Source organism: Homo sapiens, chromosome 3 (genome assembly GCF_000001405.40).
Source record: "Homo sapiens chromosome 3, GRCh38.p14 Primary Assembly".
Classification (NCBI taxonomy): domain Eukaryota; kingdom Metazoa; phylum Chordata; class Mammalia; order Primates; family Hominidae; genus Homo; species Homo sapiens.
Genome location: NC_000003.12, coordinates 9434035 through 9459608, shown reverse-complemented (window position 1 = coordinate 9459608; position 25574 = coordinate 9434035). Strand labels below are relative to the sequence as shown.

The window sequence follows — 25574 nt, the reverse complement described above, 5'->3', positions numbered from 1 at the left end:
TTAGTAGAGACGGGGTTTCGCCGTGTTAGCCAGGATGGTCTGGATCTCCTGACCTCGTGATCCGCCTGCCTCGGCCTCCCAAAGTGCTGGGATTACAGGCGTGAGCCACCACACCTGGCTATTCTTTTAATATTCTTACAAATTCAAGGTGCTAGGTAAGATCACAAATCTAATTCAAAAGTGGTACTACGCTGTTTTTGGGGGTAGAGGGAGTTAATTTGATAAAATGAATCAAAAATAAGATTTTCAATAAATAGTATATGATACTCCATTACAAGTATGTGCACAAGCAGATAAAATTACAAATTCTACCATTCCTGGGGTTGGAATTCAGATTATTTTTAACCTATAGTTTTTGCAATTGTTAATAACTAAGAATTAATTATTCTAATAAACAATTCATTCAACTTCTGAAGCTGCTGAACAAATTTGACTACAGAGTTTCGTCTCACCCGCCATGTTCACCTGACCTCTCGCCAACCAGGTACCACTTCAAGCATCTGACAACTTTTTACAGGGAAGGTGCTTCCACAACCAGCAGGATGCAGAAAATATTTTCCAAGAGTTTGTCGAATCCTGAAGCATAGATTTTTAGGCTACAGGAATAAACAAACTTATTTCTCAGTGGCAAAAATGTGTTGATTGCAGTGGTTCCTATTTTGATTAATAAAGATGTGTCTGAGTCTAGTTACAGTGATTTAAAATTAATGGTCCAAAAACGCAATTACTTTTGCACCAACCTTATATATAAATTTTGGTTTCTTTGTCTATTTCTGTAGGAAAGATACCAAGCAGAACAAATGAACGACTACTAGGTTAAGGATTATGAATATTTTTAATGCACATGATAAATTTTATCAGATTGCTAGCAGGGATATTACTCCCCGGCAGTTTTACTGCAAATCCTTTCCCCAATGTACTAATCCTCTATTAATACAGAGGCAGTATAGACACAAAAACATGGTTAATACAGTTTGAATTATTTATTTTATTATTTTTAGAGACAGATGTCTTGCTGTCATTCAGGCTGGAACGCAGTGGCATTATCACAGCTCACTGCAGCCTCAAATTCTTGGGCTCAAGTCATCCTCCTACTTCAGCCTCCTTAAGGCTACAGGCAACCCACCATCATGCCTGGCTAATTTTTATTTTTTGTAGAGATGTGGGTCTCTCTCTGCTGCCCAGGCTGGTCTCAAATTCCTGGCCTCAAGTGATCCTTCTGCCTTGGCATCCCAAAGAGCTGGAAATTGCAGGTGAGAGTCACCATGCCAGGCCCAAGTTTGAATTAAAAAAATATATATATTTGAATGTGCCTAGAATTTTCTTTGGCAAAGGACCTAGTAGTTCTTTTGAAGACAAGGTCTTGCTGTGTTGCGCAGGTTGAACTTGACTCCTGGGCTTGAGTGATCCTCCTACCTCAGCCTCCCAAGTAGTTGAGAGTTACAGGCACGTGCCACCGTGTCCAGCTAGATTCTAATTCTTTTTCAATCTCCTAACTAAAAATTCCATGACAATTTACCAACTTTTACATTTATATTTAGGCCTATTCTGACTATTTTGTTCCATATATACATCCATTCTTGCATCAATATTATACTAAATTTAACTATTAGCTTCATACTAGAAGCTCGTCTTACACCTCAAGAGAAAGTACTTCATTATTATTTTTTCAATTTTTTTCTTATTTTTTTAAAGGTAGACTTCAGAATCATTTAATCAAATTCCAAAAACAAGGCAGTTTCATGGGAACTATATAAAGACAGAGAGAAAGAGAAAGAAATATATATATACACATATATATATTCTTTCCATAATGAACATGAAATTTATCAAAGGCTCACGTATGATTCATGAAAAAAAAAAAAAGAAAAAGAAATTTCCATTTCCTCAGACTTTAAAAATATTTCTCAGTAACAGTTTACTCCATATACCCAACTAAGGTTATTCCTAGGCAGTTTCTTAGTTTTGTTAAGTTTGGGAACAAAAAAAATTGGTATTCATTTACTTTCTTGGTATATAAATGATTTTTTAAAATATATTTACACTTTTTATATATTTATCCTTCTATCCAGTGATATTAATAAACTCTTATTATTATTATTAGTATATATATATATTTTTTGAGACAGAGTCTCACTCTATTGCCCAGGCAGGAGTGCAGTGGCGCGATCTCAGCTCACTGCAACCTCCGCCTCCTGGGTTCATGCTATTTTCCTGCCTCAGCCCCCCGAGTAGCGGGACTACAAGTGCCCACCACCACGCACAGCTAATTTTTTGTATTTTTAGTAGAGATGGGGTTTCACTGTGTTAGCAAGGATGGTCTCGATCTCCTGACCTTGTGATCCACCCATCTCGGCCTCCCAAAGTGCTGGGATTACAGGCGTGAGCCACCACGCCTGGCCTAAACTCTTATTATTAATTCTAAGTTTTTCAGCTGATTACTTAGGCTCTTCTAAGAATAGACCCACATCATTTACAAATAATGAACATCATGCCCCTGCCCTACTTTGATAATAACTTTTATTTCTATAAAGTTTCAGCTTTTAGGAACTTAAAATATTTAGTGTATTTCTTTCTTCTTTTCTTTTCTCTTTTCTTTCTTCCCTCCCTCTCTTTCTTTCTTTCTTTCTTTTTGAGACGGAGTCTCACTCTATTGCCAGGCTGGAGTGCAGTGGCGTGACCTTGGCTCACTGCAACTTCTGCCTCCCAGGTTCAAGCAATCCTCCTGCCTCAGCCTCCTGAGTAGCTGGGACTACAGGTGCATGCCACCATGCCCAGCTAATTTTTTTTGTATTTTTAGTAGAGATGGGATTTCACCATGTTGGCCAGGATGGTCTCAATCTTTTCACCTCGTGATCTGCCCGCCTCAGCCTCCCAAAGTGCTGGGATTACAGGCGTGAGCCATCACACCCAGCCAGAATCTTTAATGTATTTATTAATCCACAAATACTCTACAAGAAAGAGTATTCTGTGTAGAATAATGACCGTATAATAATTACTCTTATGGGCCTGATACTATATTGAGAACTTTATATACATTATTCATTCTAATGTTAGCTCTATAAAGCAGGTATTGCTATTCCCATTTTACAAATGAGGCTCAGAGACTTGTTTTTTTTTTTTTTTTTAAGTTTTAAAGACAGAATCTCCCTCCGTCACCCAGGCTGGAGTGGAGTGGCGCAATCTCGTCTCACTGCAACCTCCACCTCCAGGTTCAAGCAATTCTCCTGCCTCAGCCTCCCAAATAGCTGGGATTACAGGTACGTGACCAGGCCCAGCTAATTTTTGTATTTTTAGTAGAGACAGGGTTTCACCATGTTGGCCAGGCTGGTCTTGAACTCCTGACCTCAGATGATCCGCCCACCTTGGCCTCCCAAAGTGCTGGGATTACAGGTGTGAGCCACCAACGCCTAGCCTCAGAGACTTCTAGTAACATCATATAGTTAGTAAAGGGGACAGCTGGTTTTCAAGTAAAGGTCTGTTTGATTTTTTCTATTATAGAAATCCTTTCCCCTTTCTTAATGTCTCTTTGGTATTCTTGAAAAAAACAAAAGAGAGCCAACAAATAAAAGTAATTCCTCAGAATTTATGCTAATTTTGTAGCAATATAACTTGCGCATTTGACTGCTGCTTGATTTTTAAAATCAAATATTTTCCTACATTGCTTTTTAAGGGCAAGGTGTGTCCTGTGAGTGTTTCTCACTGTTAGACTAGGGCAGAAGCTCAACAATAACAAAAAAGGCTGGTGACTAGGAATCCTAATTTCCTTCCAACCAGGGCATGTGATAACAAAGACACTTTTCCTATAATCCTTTGCTAGTCAGGATGTGAACTGCTATGCAATCTCCTGTTCCCAACCTTAACTATACACATGCATTAACACACACACCAGATAGATACACAAACATGATAGTCTATTTCAGCTAAGTTATATTCTTACTAACACCTTAAAAGCTGTTAAAAAAGAAATAATACAAATGGAAATCTGGTACCAAGATTTCTTTATACTATTCATATTTGACTAAATATCCCTAATTTTTGGTGAATACTAGAAGAAAATATTTTAAATAAACAGTATAATTTATCTTTCAGATAACTGGAATTTTATTATCCTGAGGTATATAGGTGGTAACTTATGAGGTATAATCTAATCTAGAGACAAAAGAATAAACTAAATCCATAATTTAAAAAATGGCAATTCACAGCCAGGCATGGTGGCTCATGCCTGTAATCCCAGCACTTTGGGAAGCCGAGGTGGGCGGATCTCCTGAGGTCAGGAGTTCGAGACTAGCCTGGCCAACATGGTGAAACCCCGTCTCTACTCAAAATATAAAAATTTGCCGGGTGAGGTGGCGGGCGCCTGTAATCCCAGTTACTCGGGAGGCTGAGGCAGGGAGAATCGCTTGATTCTCCATTTCAAAAAAAAAAAAAAAAAAAAAAGAAAAAAAGAAAAAAAGGCAATTCACGTTTTCTGAAATAAAATCTAAAAAGAAGTAAAATCCAAATGAAGTAAGAACTTTAAGAAAAGTTCTGATTTTAGTTGCAATATCTGCTACTAAAAATTTATCTAATTAAATTCAAGTTCATTACATTTATTCAGCAAGTTGGTAAACAGGAACAATGAAGTGGGTTTTTTATGAAAATGTGAAATATTCTGTTTGTTGCAACCTGAAAGGTTGCTTTAGCATCTAATTTACTTTGGTATTTTGATTGTCTAATATTTAAAAAACTGATTTAGAGAAAAGTTATGAAAATCACAAAGAACTTTTCAATTAAGCTGATATTTGCAGGAGAAACTGGTAAAAAGATTGTCACAAAATACATTAAGATATCACAAGTGCTTTCAATTACATCCTTTGCAAGTCACTGTCAAAACCAATGGAACAGATGATTTTTCATTGACATCTAGTTTAAAAATGCACAAAGACTTTAGATTTAAAGCTGTCTTAAAAAATTTGTTTTTTTTTTTTTTTTTTTTTTTTTTTTGAGACGGAGTTTCATTCTTGTCGCCCAGGCTGGAGTGCAGTGGCGTGATCTTGGCTCACTGTAACCTCCACCTCCCGGGTTCAAGTGATTCTCCACTGCCTCAGCCTCCTGTTTAGGGAGGGATTACAGGCACCTGCCACCACACCCAGCTAATTTTTGCATTTTTGGTAGAGACAGGGTTTCACCATGTTGGCCACGTTGGTCTCGAACTCCTGACCTCAGGTGATCCACCCACCTTGGCTTCCCAAAGTGCTGGGATTACAGGTGCGAGCCACAGCGCCCGGCTGTTCTTTTAAAAATTGTATGCTAATTATACAAGCCCCTTTGAAAACAATCAATTGATAATAATTTTTCACTTATTTCATTCATCCCCTGCTCCCTCAACCATGTCCCACCCAACTTAATCACTCAGAATTTTAATTCTTTCCTGAATATTAGTGTTCCACCACTTTCTTGCCCTTGCCCCATCTTATAAATATGAATATAAATTTCCTAAACTTACTACTTTAAATGTATCTAACCTTTTTTATAACCATTTCTGCTGTTATCTGTACACTGTCTAGTCCTTCTTTGTCGTCCTGGGAAAACTGATCCCTGACTTGAGATCTCTCTCTTCCTCTGTAAAGACAGATGTAAAGTAACTATTTAGAAAACACGCCATTTCTTTTTGTATCAGAAATACTCATACTTAAATTTTTTATGCAGACCTGAAACAATCATTGGTCATATAATCAGAAAGGTTTTAGATACGTACCTGCATTGTCTTTGCAGATACTAGAAGAGCTACTATTCTCATTGCTTTGGTATAGGTGCTGAGTTCTAGTCTCTTGGGGTACAGATGATGTTTGAGTCATCCCTTCTTCTAAGGCTTGTTTTATCCAGCGCTATAATTGAAAAGAACCAGAGAATTATCAATAATTATCTAAAACTATTTAGTGCACCTGTTTTAAATGTACATCAACTGGTGAGTGATACAATTCAACACACTAATTCAGTTACACAGTCAAGCATTTTATTGTCTTGTGTCTCAGCATATTGGAACATTGTCCTATCAATTCCTTTTAACTGAAAAACTTGAGGAAATCTGGATTACATATAATGAGATCCCATCAAAAGACAAAAACCAATAAAAAATGACTGCTATTCAACTTTTCATACCATTTGGGATGGTGTAAAATGGCAAGACTGAGGAAGAAATCTTAACATTTATTTAGGAGAGACTGTGATCGTATAGAATAAAACTAATATATAAAATAAGCGCCTAGAAGGAAGATAAAGATCTCTTAAAAGTTGTCTGCCCCGTGCTAGAGACGTGTGAAGAGGTAATAAAAAAGATTCATTGGAAGATTTTGGATGAGGATTAATAGCTCTTCACTACAGGTACCAAAAGCGTTTCCAAAAGGTTTATTTCAAATGAAATAACCTATGGGACTCCCCCCTCCAACAAGTAGTTTGGTTAAATTATGCATGAGTAATGCAAATCACGAAATGAGCTTCAGTAGAAATCAAAAAAAAGGGAAAAAGTCAAAAAGAAGACCTATCAGTCACAAGTTTTTGGTAGTAAAGATTAGAATAATAAACTGACAAGAAATAAATTTAGGCCAGATAGTAAACCTGCAAAGATTAGGATAATAAGATTATGTATCCTGTGGAAGACAGAAAATTTCTTACCTGTAATTGTGTTCTCTTAAGATATACAGTTGTAGGTTGCTCACCACTCTGTGGCTCTCCTGCCCTGACATAAGACAGATCGAATTTTGATAAACATCAATTTCTGAGTAAGACCCTCCCCCAATAGGAAGAGCAAAGGTGAATTATTATAATTTATACCTTTAGAGAACATGTATTACAGGTAAGTAAATACTCTCTTCACCAGAGAGCAATTCTCATAGATTTTCCCTCTTAGAAACCTAGGAAACAATCCACAAAAATTTTACCAAAAAAAAAAAAAAAAAAAAAAAAATCTTACATCATACAAATGTCATTGTGGCTGGCCAAATGAAAGCAAAACTGAAACTGTAAACCTGTAAACACTTGGAAGGAAGAGTGAACAAGGATATAAAAAAGAGCTCTCAATGGTAATTTGAATCACGTAAACATTTTAGGATACAACCAGGTCTCTGAAAAGCAAACACAAAAACAAAATAAAAAATCCGAAGAATGAACTATCTTAGATACAGAATAATGATGTAAAGATGAATTGTCAGAACCATACATATAGCCTTAAAGCTTAGAAGAGAACTTAGAAGTCATCTTGTCCAAAGCACTCATTTTATAAATGGAAAAATTAGGCTCAGGAGTGAAAAATCTTTTGTTATGGCCACCTTTAAGTTTTTCTTTTCAAAGCAGAAAACACTCATTTGGGGTCACTAAGCTTTCCTATCTGAGTAATTTTTTAATATTTCCAGGGTCTAGTAGATGTACTTGTAAAATAATTTACATTCTGGATCTGATGACTACAAAAAGGGAACATAAAATCAGAACAGGAGTATTCTAGAAGAAAGATGCTACCATGGTTAGCTATGAGGTGAAACACAGCAAATACAATCAAACCTACTCCTCCAGGTTCTGTTGTATAATTTTACAATATTTCAGGACTCATATAAAAAAGGAACATGGACATTTGTTTGTATCTAACAAGATACAATTAACCTCATGGATAATAAGTTAATTTTAGATGCACCTACTCAGCAAGTTGTTAAAATCAAAAGAACATTTCTCCCTTCTCTGAACCTCTATTAAAATATATTGCAAAGGAGTTTTCTGGGAGGCTCAAAGATGGATAAATATTTTAAAGGTCTCGCTATTATGGCGAAAGAGCAAGGAAGCAATACAGGTTTTGGAGTCCAGAAGCCCTGGCTTGACACTTGGCTGTGAGGCTGGGCTCAGTAGCTCGTATCTGTAATCCCAGCAGAATGTGAGGCCAAGGTGGGCAGACTCCTTGCACTCAGGAGTTTGAGATCAGCCTAGGAAACACAGCAAAACCCTGTCGCTACAAAAAATATGAATATTAGCCAGGCGTGGTGGTGTGCCTGTGGTCCCAGCTACACGAGAGGTTGAGGTAGGAGGACCATTTGAGCCCAGGAGGTCAAGGCTGCAGTGAGCCTGTGATGATGCCACTGCACTCCAGCCTGGACAACAGTGAGACCCTGTGAACCCCTACTATCCCCCACCAGAAGAAATCTGGCTGTGTCACTTATTAGCTGCTTCACTTTGGACAAGTTACCAAACATTTCTGAGACAAAGCTTCTGGATATATAAATTTAGGACAATGATCCCAATTTCATGCATGGTAAGTGAGATAATGTATGTGAAGAAAGCTTATAGTACAGTACTGAACACTGAGCAGATTTTCACCGAGTCCCGGTTCAACTAAATTTCAATGCTATGTTTGGAGATTTACAGATAATGCTCCAGTGTATAAAATGAAATATTAATTATCAATGCAAAGCACACTGTTTCATTATCAGTCAGACTGGTTTTTCTAAGAAGTCTGGAGACCAAATGCCCTATACACATTGTGTTTAGAAGAGGAGTTTAGAGAGAACAAGGTGAAACACTACTGAGAGCCTTGTTGGCCACTTATAAATGTTTTTAAAATACCAACTGAGGAACTAAAAAATGCAAAATGCTTCTTAAAAACTATGATTCAATTTAGAAACTCTAGGGATATCATAAAATGTTCTGTCAAATACCTGAACTCCTCTTCTTTTCAGAAGTTGCAGAATAATAATGATAAAAATAAAAATAAATAGCATAAGAATCTGAGTACAACTATACAGATACAACTTTAATTTGTCCTATACTGGTAAGTTTTTAACTTACAAGGCCAGGCCCTTACCTCTTTAGTGAGATATGAAACAGTGAGCCTATTAGAAATATACATTGTTCTAAATAATCCCATGGAGGGTTTTCTTATCTATCTGATTAACTTATACTCTGAGGGATTTTCAGAATTTTATTACAATTTTGTTGAATAATGAAAATGTTCTTAGGTTCTGCATTAGGTAAGTCCTTTCTAACCAATATTAGGAGATATTAGAAGAAGACCAATATTAGAAGAAGAACTCTTCTTCACTGCTATAAAGCCAAATTCTATTCTAGCTAAAACATTCCATTTCATTTTATTTTGCCTCATAAAAAGCTGTATTTTAAAAAATAGAATCTTGATATGTGAACAGCACACAATAAAGCAATGACTTAAACAGTTTTTAAAGATCCTATTTAAATAGTCTTGTTATGATAATCCTGTGTATGCAGCCTAAACTCTTCCTAAAGACTAACCATGACACATAGATAAAAGTGCTTGAGTAGAGCCTGTATAAATGAGATTAAGGATAGTCAGATACACTTGGAGAATATAACAGGGACTTGTGTTAAATGGAATTTCTATCTGTTGCCCGTAGAAATTTAAGGATGTGCTATAGATACAAGTATAAAAGCAGAACCAAGTTAAAAAAGCTTAAAGAAATGCATTTTCTACCAGATCTGAAGTTACAGTCCTAGACACGTTTTTGGTTTTCGTTAAGTCTCTGCTAGTTGGAAAAGATGGAAACAGAAAGACTGCAACCCAGCATTAGAATTATCAAGAAGGAATTTCAATTCAAGAGCCTAGTTCATATTATTTGCAGCTCAGACTTCATTACTTATCTGTAATAAATAATTGCCTACACTCCTTAAAGGACCAAAATAGGAGATTGTACGACCTGGCTTGATAAGATGCTTCAACAGTTAACATCCTTAGAAATGGTCAAATTTCTCTTTAGGAATTCTACGAGCGTTTCCCCGAACAAACCAATGAGTGATTCCAATGTTTAGGTAAGATGTGCAATTAGGAAAAGACTTTCTGCAATGTGCTGCTCATTCAGCAGTAGTGTCCTTCCTTTTTGCAGATTCCTATTGCCCTCCTCCCCTCCATATCCCACACCACTTTGGCTCATCTTTCATGCCCCCCTCCCCCGGAGAAATAACTTCTGTTCTTTGGGGAAAGAGAAAAGCTTTTAAGTTTGGAGGAGTCAGGGAAGACCTGCCTGGAGTTGGAGACTTCATCACATCAAATAATCTACATGCAGCATCCTCATGTACGTGATGCCAGTGGAGGAGGGCAATGGCAGACACTGAGGAAGGCAGCCTGAATCCAGATCTGAGGATAAGAGAAAAGGGTGTTCCAGGGAACAGACTCTACCTCAAAGGAAGACCAAATGAAAGGGTGTCCTATACTTCTAGAAACATGGAAAACGACATCATAGATCTGAGGGAGTGATCTATTCCTAAGAGACACCTTTGGAAAATATGCAGGGCTTCTGGGAATTAAGAAAGAGCATTCCAAAAACACCACCAAACGCTACTGCCACTAGATCCAAAAACAGTAAGTAACTGGAAAGAGGAGAAAGAGGCAGAAACAGAGAGGGAAAGAGAGTCTTTTAGGGTAGATTCTGTATTCTCTTGGAATAAACAGTCCGACTTGTCATTTGATCAAGGAACAGGAATTATGCCAATTACAATAGGATTTTTCCTCTAATTTCCTTCAAGTGATGATAGTGGATAATAACGGTTGAATTGATTCAAAACAATTTAATTTTTTTCATTTATGCAACAGTGTTCTAGAGGACCCAGGGCCTAATCTCACACAATAATCATAAATGGACATGTTAACCCATATCACAAGAGCACACACAAAACATATCCGTCTCTACCCAGTCATCCACTGCTGTGTGCTCTCACTCAGGAACCTCAAGGGTTCTCAGAAGAGACATCAGTGACCAGTCACAAATCTGAGCACTAAAAATGCAGTACATTCATTCCACCACAGTCTCACAGACTCTTGATGAATCAGTATTTATGGCTGAACAACTAACTCATTATAAACTCACATGGGCAGAGTGGCTATCTAGAGAACATTTTATTTATGTCATGATGATAGGAATCTTAGGCTTAAAAAAATAAAGCACACACACATAAACACAACACACACACAAAAACACAGACATACCTTCTTACAGGAGCTGAATGTGCCATCAGGCAGAAGGGGCCTTCGACGTCTCTCAGGGATAAAGGGTGAGCCAAAGCGAATGTAGTGTTTGGGGGTGGTGCAAATTAACGGGGAATGGATAAGACCTGGTAACATGTTTAGGGTCGTTGCCAGTACAGTTGGATCCGTTGTGATACGTAAAGGGCACTCAACAGGGCACTCTTGCTTCTCTGCTTTGTCATTCAACCATTCTGTAACTAGATACTAAGGTAAAAAAGAGATCATTAGTTTATAAATCAAGAGGTAGCAGTGTAGTTCATAAAGACAAACGTCATCTAGAAACTAGGACAGGAGGAGATGCAGCAGCTGCAGTAAGAATGAATTGAGCAACTAGAACACAAGGATATCTTCCTTCACCCTCTCCACGCCCACTAAGAGAGGAATAATTTCAGCTATCAGTGATTTAAGCTGACTAAAAATAAGGAAACAGGTAGCAGGATGACTCCAGCCTTTTGTGTCAAAGCATTTTAGAACTTTCAATCTAGTAATATTGAGATTAGTTTCTTCTAGGGATTATAGGTCCTCTCATTTCACTAAGACAGCCCTTGCCAGACTGGACTTATAAAGGATGCATTTGTGACTTACCTTTTTGGTTTTGGGGTATTTAGATGCAGCACGGTTGACATGGGATCCAGTAATTGACACCACAGTTGGGTCAGACCCTGTTAATGGCCTGTTTTCTCCTGAACTGTCTAGACTTCCAGCTTCAGTAGGAGTTACTAAACTGTTACTTCCTCCCTCTTCCAAGGCAGCTTGTGACAATTCTGCCTGCTGTGCATTGGCCTGCTTCTGACGCTTTAGTCTTTGGGCTGAACTGGTCCTGTACCGAGAAATTCGACTCTTCGGCCGGGGCCTAGAAGGCTTTGCTGGAGGTGGCTTGGGGACTAGTTTTTCTGCAGCAATATCCTGTAGCAATAGTAGGGTCAGATGCTTACCAGAAATGTTTTATCAGCAAACAGTCTAATTTCCTATTCACTTTAAGCATTCAGAATGTCTACTGATGAAAAATATAAGGATTAGAAACACTAATTTAAAATCTAATTTTTAAATACAAAAATGTATACACTTAAATGAGCTAAAGAGGCTAGCGACAAATGTTTGCGTTATTTCTAATAAGCATTTATAAAATAGGCCAATGAAATGGTTCCAGTTAAACAGTTAATGGCCTTATTTATTGTGATATGGAGCAAAGCTGAAAACACTGATTTTAAAAATTCCAAAAGTTAGGTATTGACATTAGCAAAGGTGAGGATGTCTAAGTGCTGAAGTCTTTTCAACTCTTACCCCTGCTTGGGAAGACCTCCGGGTATTCACACCAACACTCTGTGGGGTGCTTGGGATGGTAACATTTGAAACAGAGTTGCTAACTTCAGATTCAGGGGCTTCAGTTTTTGTCTCTTCACCAACAGGAGTCTCTGAGGTGGTTGTAGTAATCTCTACATCAGAGTTGCTCTGTTCCAAGGGCTGATCCCGCCGCTTCTTTCTTTTCTCTAAGTTTTCAAAAGCATGCATGATGGCTTCTACCTTTCTATCTTCCCTGGTCTAGAAAGAGATAGTACTGGTGTAGAAGGAAGCTTCAAATGAGGACGAGTGGATAGCTTTTATAAAAGTATTTTTAATGGAAATTTACAGAAATTCATTTAACTACCAGTAAGATGACACATATAACTTGGAAAACAGAAGATTAAAAATAAAATATTTCATTTTAAATGTGGGGAATAGTTGTAAATAAAGGCAAGGTCAAACATAAACTTTTCAAAAAGGGTCAGTTATTTTGAAACTTTAATATGAAAGAAAAACAGGATGGGTGCAGTGGCTCACGCCTGTAATCCCAGTACTTTGGGAGGCTGAGGTGGGAAGATCATGAGGTCGGGAGATTGAGACCGTCGTGGCCAACATGGTGAAACTCCGTCTCTACTAAAATACAAAAAATTACCCAGGCATGGTGGCGCATGCTTGTAATGCCAGCTACTTGGGAGGCTAAGGAAGGGGAATTGCTTGAACCCGGGAGGCAGAGATTGTGGTGAGTTGAGATTGCGCCACTGCACTCCAGCCTGGTGACAGAGCAAGAGTCGGTCTCAAAAAGAAAAAAAAAAAAGTCATCAAATCAGGGTCATAAACACACAGGATTGGTTTCAGCATAAAAGTAGAAAATTTTAGTTCATATGACTAAAAGGGTTTAAAAAAACTTCAGAACTCACAAAAACCTAGAAAATTCCTAATTCAGAGCAAACCAACTATAATACATTTTGATTCTGACCAGCCAGTTTTTCGGAAACCAGATTTTTTTTTTTTTTTTTTTTTTGAGATGGAGTCTCGCTCTTTTGCCCAGGCCGGAGTGCAGTGGCGCTATCTCCACTCACTGCAAGCTCTGCCTCCCAGGTTCATGCCATTCTCCTGCCTTAGCCTCCCGAGTAGCTGGGACTACAGGCACCCGCCACCGCGCCCGGCTAATTTTTTGTATTTTTAGTAGAGACAAGGTTTCACCGTGTTAGCGAGGATGGTCTCGATCTCCTGACCTCGTGATCCGCCCACCTCGCCCTCCCAAAGTGCTGGGATTACAGGCGTGAGCCACCGCGCCCAGCGGAAACCAGATTGTTAGTAAAAAAAAAAAAAAAAAAAAAAACAACCTCTTCAAACCATCACTAGATAATAATCACTACAAAACTACTGTGTGTATAGAGAAAAATAAATAAAAAAATTATAATAAAATCTTTATTACGGAAAAAGCCCAAATTATAACCTTCAGGTCAAATCAATGAGATGATACAAAGTCAAGAGAACAGAAGAGGTTCACATGATGGAGGTAGCAGGAATGAGAAGGAGCAAAGTAATGTCAGACAGTACTCACCCTCCTGCTATGAGCTAGGTTCTCCTGGTCATCTATAACCTCTTCTTTCTCTTCTTCTGGTTTTTCTTCTGGATTGTCTACTTCCTTTAAGATAGAGGCAATATTCAGCTGTACTCAAGCTCTGAGAAAAAATCAATCTGTTTTATTCTGGTAGCTTAAAACTCTCTATAACAATCTCTAGTGCTTTAAACTGTTAACTCATGTGAGGCCACATGGTAAACACAGATGATAACTAACCCCTATTCTCTGGTGCAAAACCAGCAAAGGATGTTTTTGACTTTGTAAAACAGAAAGAAATGTATGAACACAATAAACCCACATTGATATAAAGGGCACTAAGTGTTACTATAGCTCCCCTACTTAAACCATGCGGCAACCCGGGTTCCTCTTCCTTTGGAGGATTGATGCCATAGCATCATCATTTGACCAGGGGCGATTACCTCATGATCACTGGATACAGTTACTTTTTCTGGAACTTCTTGTGATTGCTGGTCATTATTCTCCTCTGAAGCCTCATTCTGCTGCTCCATCTCTAGCTCTTTCCGTCGTGCTTTTCTACGTCTAGTCTCTGCTCCAATGGTGGGTAGGCTTGGAGGAGGTGGTAGGAGTGGCAGTTCTGTAGCATTAGGATTCCTTTTTTGTATAGGACAATTCCGGTTTCCCTTGTGACAGGCACAGTCCACTTTATAATTACTGCTCCAAAGAAACAACCAAAATGCCTGTCTCAGTACCCTTGAAATTCAGTTACATTATCCATTCACCCTCTTAAAATATCAGTACAGTAACTTCCTCTGATATTGTCTCTGAATAAGTTAAACAGAGACATTAGAGAGTCCTATAAATACTTTTGTTTTTCTTTTTATTGGAGACGGAATCTCGCTCTGTCATCTAGGCTGGAGTGCAGTGGTGCATCACAGCTCTCGGTAATCTCTGTTTCCTGGGCTCAAGTGATCCTCCTACCTCAGCCTCCTGAGTAGCTGGGACTACACGCCCAGCTAATTTTTTTATTTTCGGCAGAGACGGGGTTTTGCCATGTTGTCTAGGCTGGTCTTGAACTCCTGGGCTCAAGTGATCCTCCAGCCTTAGCCTCCCAAAGTGCTGGGATTACAGGCGTCAGTCACCGCGCCTGACGTAACACTTTCAATATTCTGTCTTTCTTTGTGTAACCCCAATTCTACTCCATGGTCAGTGGGAAAAAAAAAAGAAAGCCCTCCCTAAATTCAATCCCCCCAGTGGTTTATTGGCTATTTAGCAGGCAGTTTATCAATGATAAAGTCTGATGTGGCCATACTCATCTTGTGCCCACGATTACCATGTCCTCACTTTTACCTACTAATTCCCTACTTCTTAAAACCTTTTATAACCTTCTTAAAACCTTTTTTATTTTCCTTGATGAATTAAGCAGAACATCTTTTTTCCTTATACCTGGGCCAAACATCACTTTACCACATAACCTCTATTTTGCCCCAAATGACCAAAGAACAAAAAGCATATACTTTAAAAAATCCCACATATTCATCTATGAATTGCCCTTTATGGTTTTCTGCACTGTCATATACAGCTAGATAACATGGTTTCTGTGGACAGGGTGGATCTTTAAATCTCACCCCTAGCTTTATAAGGGTATAATTGACAAATTAAAAGTAGAGGTAACATATTAAATTCTCTCTCTTTTTTTTTAAGACAGAGTCTCCCTCTGTTGCCAGGCTGGAGTGCAGTGGCGTGATCTTGGCTTACTGCAGCCTCAGCCTCTCAGGTTCGAGTGATTCTCCTGCCTCAGCCTCTCAAGTGGCTGGGACTACAGGCGTGTGCCGCCACGCCCAGCTAATTTTTGTGTTTTTAGTAGAGACAGGGTTTCATCATTGGCCAGGATGGTCTCGATCTCCTGACCTCGTGATCCGCCCGCCTCAGCCTTCCAAAGTGTTGAGATTACAGGCCTGTGAGCCACTGCGCCTGGCCTAAATTCTCATTCTATATGGTCCCTGACATAAGTACTCTGTGCATAACAACAGGATGCTATTGTAATTTCCAGGAGTGTCTCATACATACATATATATCCATTTTGCTATTCTTGCTAAAAAGGCATAAGCGAAAACACTTCTGTCAGGAAATTTGTGAGCAGTATCATACAAGGTATCCGTATCTCTAAAAAAAATCTTGCCTGTCTTTTCCTTTACAATTTCTAGGCAGAAAATTCATTAGTCATGAAAAGATTAAGTAAACAAAGGAAAAGGCAAGAAACAAGAGCAGACTTTAAATAGAGTGAATAGCTTAATATGTAAGACATGGATATTCCTGTTAGGAAAGGTTTCTGAGGTCTTACCAGTTACTATACTCATAATCAAATGCTATGGTGACCTCAGCATCCTTGGTGATGGCAGACACAGCATAGATGCACAGGTGAATCATCCCATCTGCAATCATGTGTCGCACCTGTGTGAAAAGGCTTCTGGTTGGATTTTTCATAAAGACCATGAACTTTCCGTAAGAGAGAAAAAAACCATACTTTCTCTCCATTTGGAGTTATGGTAATCTATTATTTATTTAAGGAGTTATGGTAATCTGTTATTTAACCCCTTCATTTCATCTGAAACTATTATACTGCACTGGCTTGAAAATTTATAATACTTTCTTAAATATGTGGAGAAACCTTGAGATGTTAGAAATCAGGGTAAAATCTCTACTTTCACATCTTTTTTTTGAGATACAGTCTTGCTCTGTCGCTCAGGCTGGAGTGGAGTGGCGTGATCTCGGCTCACGGCAACCTCTGCCTCCCGGGTTCAAGCAATTCTCCTGTCTCAGCCTCCTGAGTACCTGGGAATACAGGCACACGCCACAATGCCTGGCTAAGTTTTCTATTTTTTTTTAGTAGAGACGGGGTTTCACCATGTTGGCCAGGCTGGTCTCGAACTCCTGACCTTGTTATCTGCCCACCTCAGCCTTCCGAAGTGCTGGGATTACAGGCATGAGCCACTGCGCCCAGCCGCTTTCACATCTTATAGCTGTTTCCAGCTCCACCAGAGAATTAAAATTCCTTAGCCAGTAAGTAAAGCTCTGTGGATTTTCTTGCTTTATTTGATGTGGTTGCTCTGAGTAATGAATTCTAGAAATGTCTAGATCCTCTCATAAAACATTACTCACTAAAATCTAAAAAAACTGCAACCAAATAGCTTAGTTAGGCCTAACAACATCTACTTCCACCGTATGGCAATCTCTTTAATATAACTACACTTGATTTTCTTATCCAGTCTAGCTTTTTCTCCTTAGCAAATGCTAACTTGCTCTTTTCTATTTCTGCCTTCTCTAAAGAAAACTCTTTCCTTGCGCCCATTTTGTCGTATAAAAGCACCATTACTTTTGTTTTTCACCTCCCACGATGAAATATCACGACTATTATCTACAGACCTTTATCTGAGTGAAGTTTTCACACTGCTTCTTCAGTAAGCTTGTCATTTGATGGTTCCAGTCAAAGGGAAGTTGCTACAGATATCTTACCTCTGCATTTGGTGTACATGATCTTCTGATGAACCGAGCATCATTACCGAAAGTACGGGCATCCACACACATCTCTACACCATTGAATTTTGAGTAGAAGAGCACAAAGGGGTATGGTCTAGGGATACAATTAAAATTCCTGTAATTCTCAACACAAATAAGAAGGCCACCCCATGACTCCAAATATGAAGCATATGCTGAGAGAAGCAGCAGCAGTCTTTTGCAACGCCTAAACTTGGGAAAGCATCACGTTTGTCTGCTTTTGATTAAAGAACAAGCACAAAGCAAGGAATGCTTGGCTTGGAAAGGAGGTGTCACCATTTTATACATTGAACAATTTGAAGATTTACTTGCACTTCTCTACAAATAGCAGACAGGTGTGAGCTTATCTGAGTTGTGATTTTTTTCTCCCAAGAGCGTCTTATCAAACAGAATGATTTTTACAACAACACTGGTCAACCAGGTCCACCTTAGCCCTCACTGCTCAATGAATGACGTTCTTACTTTTTGAAGAAATGCCCATTGACCTCAAATTGCTGTCGTAACATGACTTTCCCACGATACTCTATTATAAGAGTGTCCAAAGCCAAATCTCTTGCAGCCCTCAGGATCTTCCGGTGCTTTTGAACACGAGTGACTCTTCCCAGCTGTAACTGAATAAAACCAGAGCAATAACATTAAACAACAGCAAGAACACCTTAGTAGACACTCAAATTACTTCATAATTAAGGAAAACATGCTAATATTTTCAGGTTTTATCTGTACATGTTATTTAGATCAATGATGAGAAATTTTAAAATGTGATGAAAGCTCAATTTTTCTAAGAGACATGCTACATCTAGTGAAATTGCCTCCCCAGAAACGGCAAGAAAATATTAAAAAAAAAAAAAAAATACATGATTAAGACTTCAGTGACTCTATCTCTAAAATAAAGATGAGAAAGAACATGCTTAACTTTCTATAAATATTACATAATTCCTACCTAGGGTATATAGAATTTCCCATACTAAGTCATCTCTCTCTCTGTTTTTTAAATAGAGCCAGGGTCTCACTCTTTCATTCAGGCTGGAGTGCAGTGGTGCAATCATAGCTTACTATAACCTCAAATTCATTCAAGTGATCCTTCCACCTCAGCCTCCCCAGTAGCTGGGACTTACAGGTGTGTATCATCACAACGGCTTTTAATTTTTTTTTTTTGTAAAGAGAGGGTCTCACTATGTTGTACAGGCTGGTCTTGAACTGCTGGCCTCAAGCAATCCTTCCACCTTGGCTTCTTGCCAAAGTGTTGTATTATAGGAGTGAGCCACTGCACTGCACACAGCCTCAATTCATCTATTTTTTTATTAATAAAGGTAGTTTAAAAATATGTATCCAGGTAGTTTCCAGTTAATATAACCTACTTTTGGTTACATATGATCAACACCTGGCTAATCTGTTATTCCATGGCCTTGTACATTTGGAAGGAACAGTAATTCCAATCCATTACCCTCTTCCTGGGTTCTTAAAATTTCAGCTACTTAGAGAGTCCTCAACCCTTTGGTGCTTACCTGCATTTGGGAACCAATAACTGTGTTATTACAGGCCAATTCAGTCTTATTAATAGTGTCTAAAATAGTAGGTTTGCCCACAAATTCCTTGCTAGAATGTAGGTGTTGTTCAAGCGCGTTCTGTACATCTGCACTGTACTGATTAGTGAAAGCTTCTTCATACTGGTCAGTCCATAGTCTTATCCGATTTTCCCAGCCCTCAGTTGTATTCTCATCTAAATTCTGTGCTTCAGAGGGAGAATTCTGTAGAAAACAAATTCAGGGAGGTTAGTAAAGTCCATGCATAAATAGAGGGTTGGGAATGGGGGTGGGACAAGCTGGGGTTCCAGAGAAAATTTATCACTTGGCAATTGATGTGGCATAAAAGAGTAATGGACTGGGAGTCAGAGGATCTGGTTTCTATCATGCTTTTGTTACCAATGAGAGGTGAGACCTTGAATAACTTCTTTAAATGGGGAAGCTCAGTTTCTCCATTTATAAAGTAAGAAATTAATCTGGATCATAGTTTCATCCCATCACTGTGATTTTATGACCATTTTAAAGTCATAAAAATCAATTTTCTAATCAAAGGACTGACATCAAGTTCATAAGAAAATCTTCATACAAATGAACAGTAGAGACCTCAAATTTATCACTGCTTAAATTTTTCATACTCACTGAATATCTGTGTTAAGTGTTAGCCCAAACTGGTTTTTTGACTATTCTCCAGGAGAATGCATGTTTTTGTATCACTTATTATTTTCATAATACATGTTCATTCTAAACCTAGATGTGATCTTAATCAATCAATCTCATTAATCCAATCCCAATCTTACTACCCATATAAAAAGTTATTATTTGAGTATATCTTTCTAACACTCTATTTTCAACAATTTAAATTACCACATTCTAAATAATCTGAAGAGGTGAAGTGAGGGGAGAGGAGTAGGTAGGGAGAATATAGAAAATGTCTAGGAGGTACTTTGCTATACTCCTCTAGGAAAACCATTGCCCTCTATGGTGACAGTATTGAGAAAAGATTACTACAACTCAGGAACAGCTTCCTAGGCAGACAGTGCCTGAGCTACAGAGACAAAGCATAAGCCCAATACATGTTCTCCTCCACGGTGTTCAAGACTTAAGTGCCATCAGAAAACAAAACAAACACTGACAGTGATGATGTCATGCTAGTGATGATTAGAAGGAAAAGACACTGTAGTACCAAAGCTACTTGAAAATCCATGTCCACATTAAACTTGCAAACAGGTACAATAAAATTAAATATACTTTCTATGAATGGCACAGAAAACACTGATGCTTATCATAACACTTTCTTTTACCACTTTTGCATCACTGTTGCTGACTGATTATTGTCTACTATCCTTTCTGCAAGGAACAGGAGTATAGAAGAAAAAAAATCAACACTATTGTCTCCACATTTCTTACTAGAGTCCAAAAGACTGAACAATAAACAAAGGGATCTAAAGAAACACCTAAAGCCAACATACTGACAATCAGAGTATCGCCTGCTTGACATCAGTAGCAGTTGCGCAAAAGAATAGTGCAAAACCTTAGGCTTAATGGAGCTTACAGACTAGGGGGACTGGCAGTGTCCAAACAATATTCCCAGCTTTAAGTGGCAATTGTTAAACTTACACTTGATAAGTGTACTGTATTCTGGAAGCCTCTGTCACAGTATTAGCCATTGTTCGCTAATCTCACTGTGTGTTTACTCTGCTGTCCCATCCTTCAAGGCATTAGAGACTCTACCTCAGTTGGGTTTAGAGTAGTGGTTCTCAATTGAGGGAAATTTTGCACCCAGGTGACATTTGGTAATATCTGAAGACATTTTTGATAATCTCAACTGAGTGTATGAGTGTTACCGGCATCTAGTGGGTAGACACCAGGGATCCTGTTCACATCTTGAAAGCACAGAACAGTCCCTTCCACAACAAAGAATTATCTGGTCCAAACTGTCAACAGTGTCAAGACTGAGAAACCCTGATTTACAATTAAGTCTTCAGTAGGGAAGCTGCTCTTGACACTGGGATTAAAAATCCAAATGATAATTTTTTCTAATTCTTATGGCTCCCACCTGGATCACTGGAGGAGTTTTAAACTAGTAATTCTGAGCATAAAATTTATAACTCAATTTAGAATTAAAAGAATCAAAATGACTAGTAATTTTTTTTTCTAAATTTTAACACACCTGTGAGGCTGTCAACCTCCCAAAACTGTAAGCAAAATATGGGGTTTATGTGCAGTTTTCTGGTAGAGCCAGTTTATAGCTTTTGAAAGGTTTCGAGCTTCTGGAGATAAGTTATGATAGTTGCTTGATAAGAGAAAAGCATTTAGTAGCCAGGATTAGGGCTATTATCTGCCTCCAAAGTCTATTTAAAAGGCCCCTCTCTAAGCAAATGAGACAAAAATAAAGGGGAAGCTAAAGCAAACTTGGCCACTTGCAAGAGACGGATCCAGCAAAGGCATGATTGATTTGTCTTCCAAGACACATCCCAGGCCTCTGATGCTCTGTAGCTCTGAGTCCTCTCCCAACTCTTTCACAGGTATGTGCAAGTCTGTTTAAAGATAGATACTAAGTGGGGCCTTCAAACTTTAGGTAAAGTGCTACCTGTAATCTTTGCTAACACCAGTCACACTGGTGCTGCACATAAAGCAATCCTAAAAAGCTTATCCTTACTGAATTTTTTTTTTTTTTTGAGATGGAGTCTTGCTCTGTTGCCCAGGCTGGAGTGCAGTGGCGTGATCTCGGCTCACTACAACCACTGCCTCCTGGGTTCAAGCGATTCTCCTGCCTCAGCCTCCCAAGCAGCTGGGACTACAGGTGCCTGCCACCACGCCTGGCTAATTTTGGTATTTTTAGTAGAGATGGGGTTTCACCATGTTGGCCAGGCTGGTCTTGAATTCCTGACCTCAGGTGATCCACTTGCCTTGGTCTTCCAAAGTGCTAGGATTACAGGCGTGAGCTACTGCGCCTGGCCTTACTAAAGATTTTAATATTTATGCCCTATAACTCTCAATAGGAAAGATCCTGCTTTTGTATCATTTAGGAATATGAATACTCATAAACTTGAATTTAATTCTATTTAAATGCTTTGAAGCCCCCAGTAATAATTTGAGAGGCATGTTTTCCTCATATATATATATTTATACACACACACACACACACACACACACACGTAAAGGAGGATACCAGACAGCATAATCAAATCTCCTTTTGGCAAGCTATTTTTAATCAACCAGCACCTTACACTTCTTTTAAACCATTCCACATACTTGCTCTATTCTCCAAGTTCTTTACAAAATCATACTTCATAAACTCTTTTATTTGATATCTTAAGAAACATGCTAGCATTACCTAAGTTTTTTCCACCAAACAGATATGCTAAGAGAAAACAGTAATTCTTATCAATAATACAAGCGTCCTGCAATTAAAGCCCACACAGTGCTAGGGTAGATGCACAAGAGATCCTGTATCATTACCAGAAAAACTCCACTCCTAAGGTTGAGTTCAATCACAGTGACAGAACACACTAGCCTCATTTTGTTTGGAAAAATGTCACTTACCCCCTAGGAAAGCAATGAATGAAAAACCAATCAATGAAGGCTGATTACAGAAAGGGAAAATATTTCAGAAAATGGCCAAGAAAATCTACTTTGGAGAAAAGCTCTATGAAAACTGAATGGCAACAACTACAAACTAATGAAAAGCAGAGTCCAAGATTCCCAGACCATCAATGTCAGGAAAGAAGCTGACCAAAATGCAAGATCACAGTGAAGTAAAACACAGCATCAGCGAAGATTACCCCTTACCTTCATCCGCAAGGACTTCCGGGATCCCTCTCGAAATGCCTATCCCAAGGAGGAAAACAAGTAGAACAAACAAAACTTGGTACCAAGAATGACAGTTATACCTATCTGAGACTAAAACTAAGGCACAAACTAGTGTTCTATTCTGTCCCCCTTTCTCTAGGTAAAAAATACAATGGAATTCCCCAAACTATTACCAAGAATAGGGGTAGCTCAAGGCCAATGAACTCTGAGACTAATTTTAATACTTTCTACTGTGAAGCTAGGTAATTAACAGGGAAGAGCATGCATCTCTTAAATCCTATATGCACCTCTGATACTAAGAGAAAAAGTAAATAAAAAAAAACTTTAAAGTTGCAGATTTACCAGTTTTGAAACTAAGAAGGAAACAAAGACCAATCCCCTTAACAAGGGATGAACAAGTCACCTAGAAGCAACAAAGTTGCTGTGATGGGGAAGAAAGAACACAAACCAGAAGAAGTTTCTCCCGTAGACATTTTAGCTGAGAATACAGGAAAGTGACCATGACACTGAGGAAACCTAGACCATACAAGAGATGTTTCCTGATTTTTATTTTTTTTGAAACAAGGAAAAACAATCAACCCAAAGACATGAGGCATGTAACCAGGACAAGAATTTCAGACTGTACTTTGGGGTTGAGAGGTGGGGAGATACTGTAAGGATAGTGGAAGCCTAGACTTGAGGCTGCAACACATACGGGATTGTGCCAGGTAGGGCTGGAATTTCATACCTGGGATGGGGACTGGAGTAGAAGAAACTTTGAGCCAGTGGTGATGATATGGTGTGGCAGAAGAGAGGTTGGTCTACATGTACATAACACAGATTAGCTGATTTTTGCAAGTAGAACAAAAGTGGCCCTTCAAACACCTGGATCAAACTTCTTAAAAGAATTTTGGTGCATTCTTGCTCCAAAATTTAAGCTATTTCAGACAATTTCTATTTAAGATATTTTTACCCTGCATACCTTGATTTTCTTCGTCTTTGGTGCTGCACGACCCTTTTCTGGACTCTTTTTCCGCTTCTTGGGTTTGGTTCTTCTAACAGTTAAGGTGATGCTTGTAGGTGTGTGCTGTGTTGCTGTATACAACACAGTGGAAGGAGAAAGCTCCTCATCCCAGCTTTCTGTTGCACTGCTATCCCCACCTGAAAAATGATGATTTCATAGTTCAGGTACTAATAGCCTCAAAAGTACATTAAAAGTAGCTTATTCTTTTAGGTGTGCCCCACATGCAGTAAGCCATTACTTCCACTATTAACTCTTATCATCTGTAAAGCAACGTTAAATACTCATCTTCCTTAAGAAAACAAGATTCTATGTCATTGGCATTAAGCATATAAACCCTGTTCCTCATGGTATTTATTTCTCCCCTTGTATTCAGTCCCTAAGCTTCGCTGACTCAATCTATAACAATTTGAGACTGGCTAATTTTTAAAACAGGAATCCATATTTTTTGTGTTCACAAGGAATACTTTGCTACAGGACTAAACTGTTCTCAACACATTTCGTTTACAATGAGAGAACTATACAGTGGTCTTGAGAGGACTTCTATCTCTTTCTGTGAAAAGAGCTGGCTGGGGGACCATGGGAACTTGTAAGAGGGGTTCTTTTTTTTTTTTTTTTTTTTTTGAGAGGGAGTTTTGCTCTTGTTGCCCAGGCTGGAGTGCACTGGCGCAATCTCAGCTCATGGCAACTTCCGCCTCCCGGGTTCAAGCGATTCTCCTGCCTCAGCCTCCCAAGTAGCTGGGATTACAGGCATGCGCCACCACACCTGGCTATTTTGGATTTTCAGTAGAGATGGGGTTTCTCCATGTTGGTCAGGCTGGTCTCAAACTCCCGACCTCAGGTGATCCGCCCGCTTTGGCCTCCCTAAGTGGTGAGATTACAGGCGTAAGCCACTGCGCCTGGCCAAGAGGGGTTCTTAAAATGAACATTCAGATCACAGAATATTTTTATGTCAAATTGTGGACCTAACCCATCTTCCGCTCACCTGATATGTTGTCCTGCTTCCGCCGATGAAGTCTAATAACCTTCCCCCTGCTCATTCCCCTAAAGAGGGAAAATAAACTTAAAGTAGTCCTTCCAACAGCATGCATCACATCATAGCACACATGGGCGAAGTGTCTCTGCATATGCTACCCCCTCCCTCCCACCTACCAAATGTTTCCAGGACATTAAATTTCATATCAAATTCAATAGCTTTAACATCAATCTCTCATTCCTTGTTGTCAGCAATTCTCACCTAGTGCAGAGAATTCGAGCCAAGGAGCACTAAGGAATCATCTACATTAACAAACACAAGAAAGAATACTTTGAGCTTTTCCCTACTTGTAAGAAACCCTAATCCCAGCAACCCAGACTTAAATTTAGATGGAACAGGATCTTACCTGCACTTGTCACAGTTGAGAAGGAAGCCATCCTGAGAAAGACCACAAGGACACCAGGTAGGTACAGTTTCTCCTTCAGAGTTCGGGCTGTCTCCACAGCGTTCCTCTACAGGCGACGGCAGGCCATTCAGGTCAGAACGAGGGATGATCGTCTGGACAGGGGGAGAAGCAGGAGGTGTCGGAGGAGGAGGGGCTCCGTAATTATGATCCTGAAAATAAGATTTTTTAAATCAACAGTGTCCAAACACTGGCCCCTCTCTCCCCTAAAGTATGGTACATATGGAAAGAAAGAAGAAAGTAGTACCCTTTGTTTTTTGGCTTCAACCAGGAAAGTGATAAAACAAAATGCCAAGGTCAACTGGGACATAAAAACAAGAACAATGATGCAGGGCTAGACGTCCGCTGGAGTCAGGGAAGTGCAAAAGGGGCAACTTCGTCATGCTGCATATAA

General features: G+C 39.0%; 1 protein-coding gene across 52 annotated transcripts in view; it reads right to left on the bottom strand.

The window, feature by feature from the left end:
* SETD5 (SET domain containing 5) overlaps positions 1–25574 on the bottom strand; it is an 80540-nt gene that overhangs the window by 18546 nt on the left and 36420 nt on the right. For 18 of the 52 annotated variants that reach the window (XM_047448468.1, XM_047448473.1, XM_047448482.1 and 15 more), the window contains 14 exons: positions 25124–25332; positions 24727–24785; positions 23703–23881; positions 22721–22759; positions 18911–19153; positions 17868–18016; positions 17364–17481; positions 16192–16301; positions 14309–14561; positions 13869–13952; positions 12302–12559; positions 11603–11923; positions 10979–11221; positions 5741–5870 (listed from right to left, as the gene is read on the bottom strand). In XM_047448468.1, coding sequence (XP_047304424.1) covers positions 5741–5870; positions 10979–11221; positions 11603–11923; positions 12302–12559; positions 13869–13952; positions 14309–14561; positions 16192–16301; positions 17364–17481; positions 17868–18016; positions 18911–19153; positions 22721–22759; positions 23703–23881; positions 24727–24785; positions 25124–25332 — 2395 coding nt within the window. Of the gene's footprint in view, positions 1–5507; positions 5605–5740; positions 5871–10016; positions 10130–10978; positions 11222–11602; positions 11924–12301; positions 12560–13868; positions 13953–14308; positions 14562–16191; positions 16302–17363; positions 17482–17867; positions 18017–18910; positions 19154–22720; positions 22760–23702; positions 23882–24726; positions 24786–24978; positions 25020–25123; positions 25333–25427; positions 25565–25574 lie in introns of those variants that run through there. The other 34 variants (XM_047448496.1, XM_047448490.1, XM_047448497.1 and 31 more) reach the window with 10 other exon arrangements.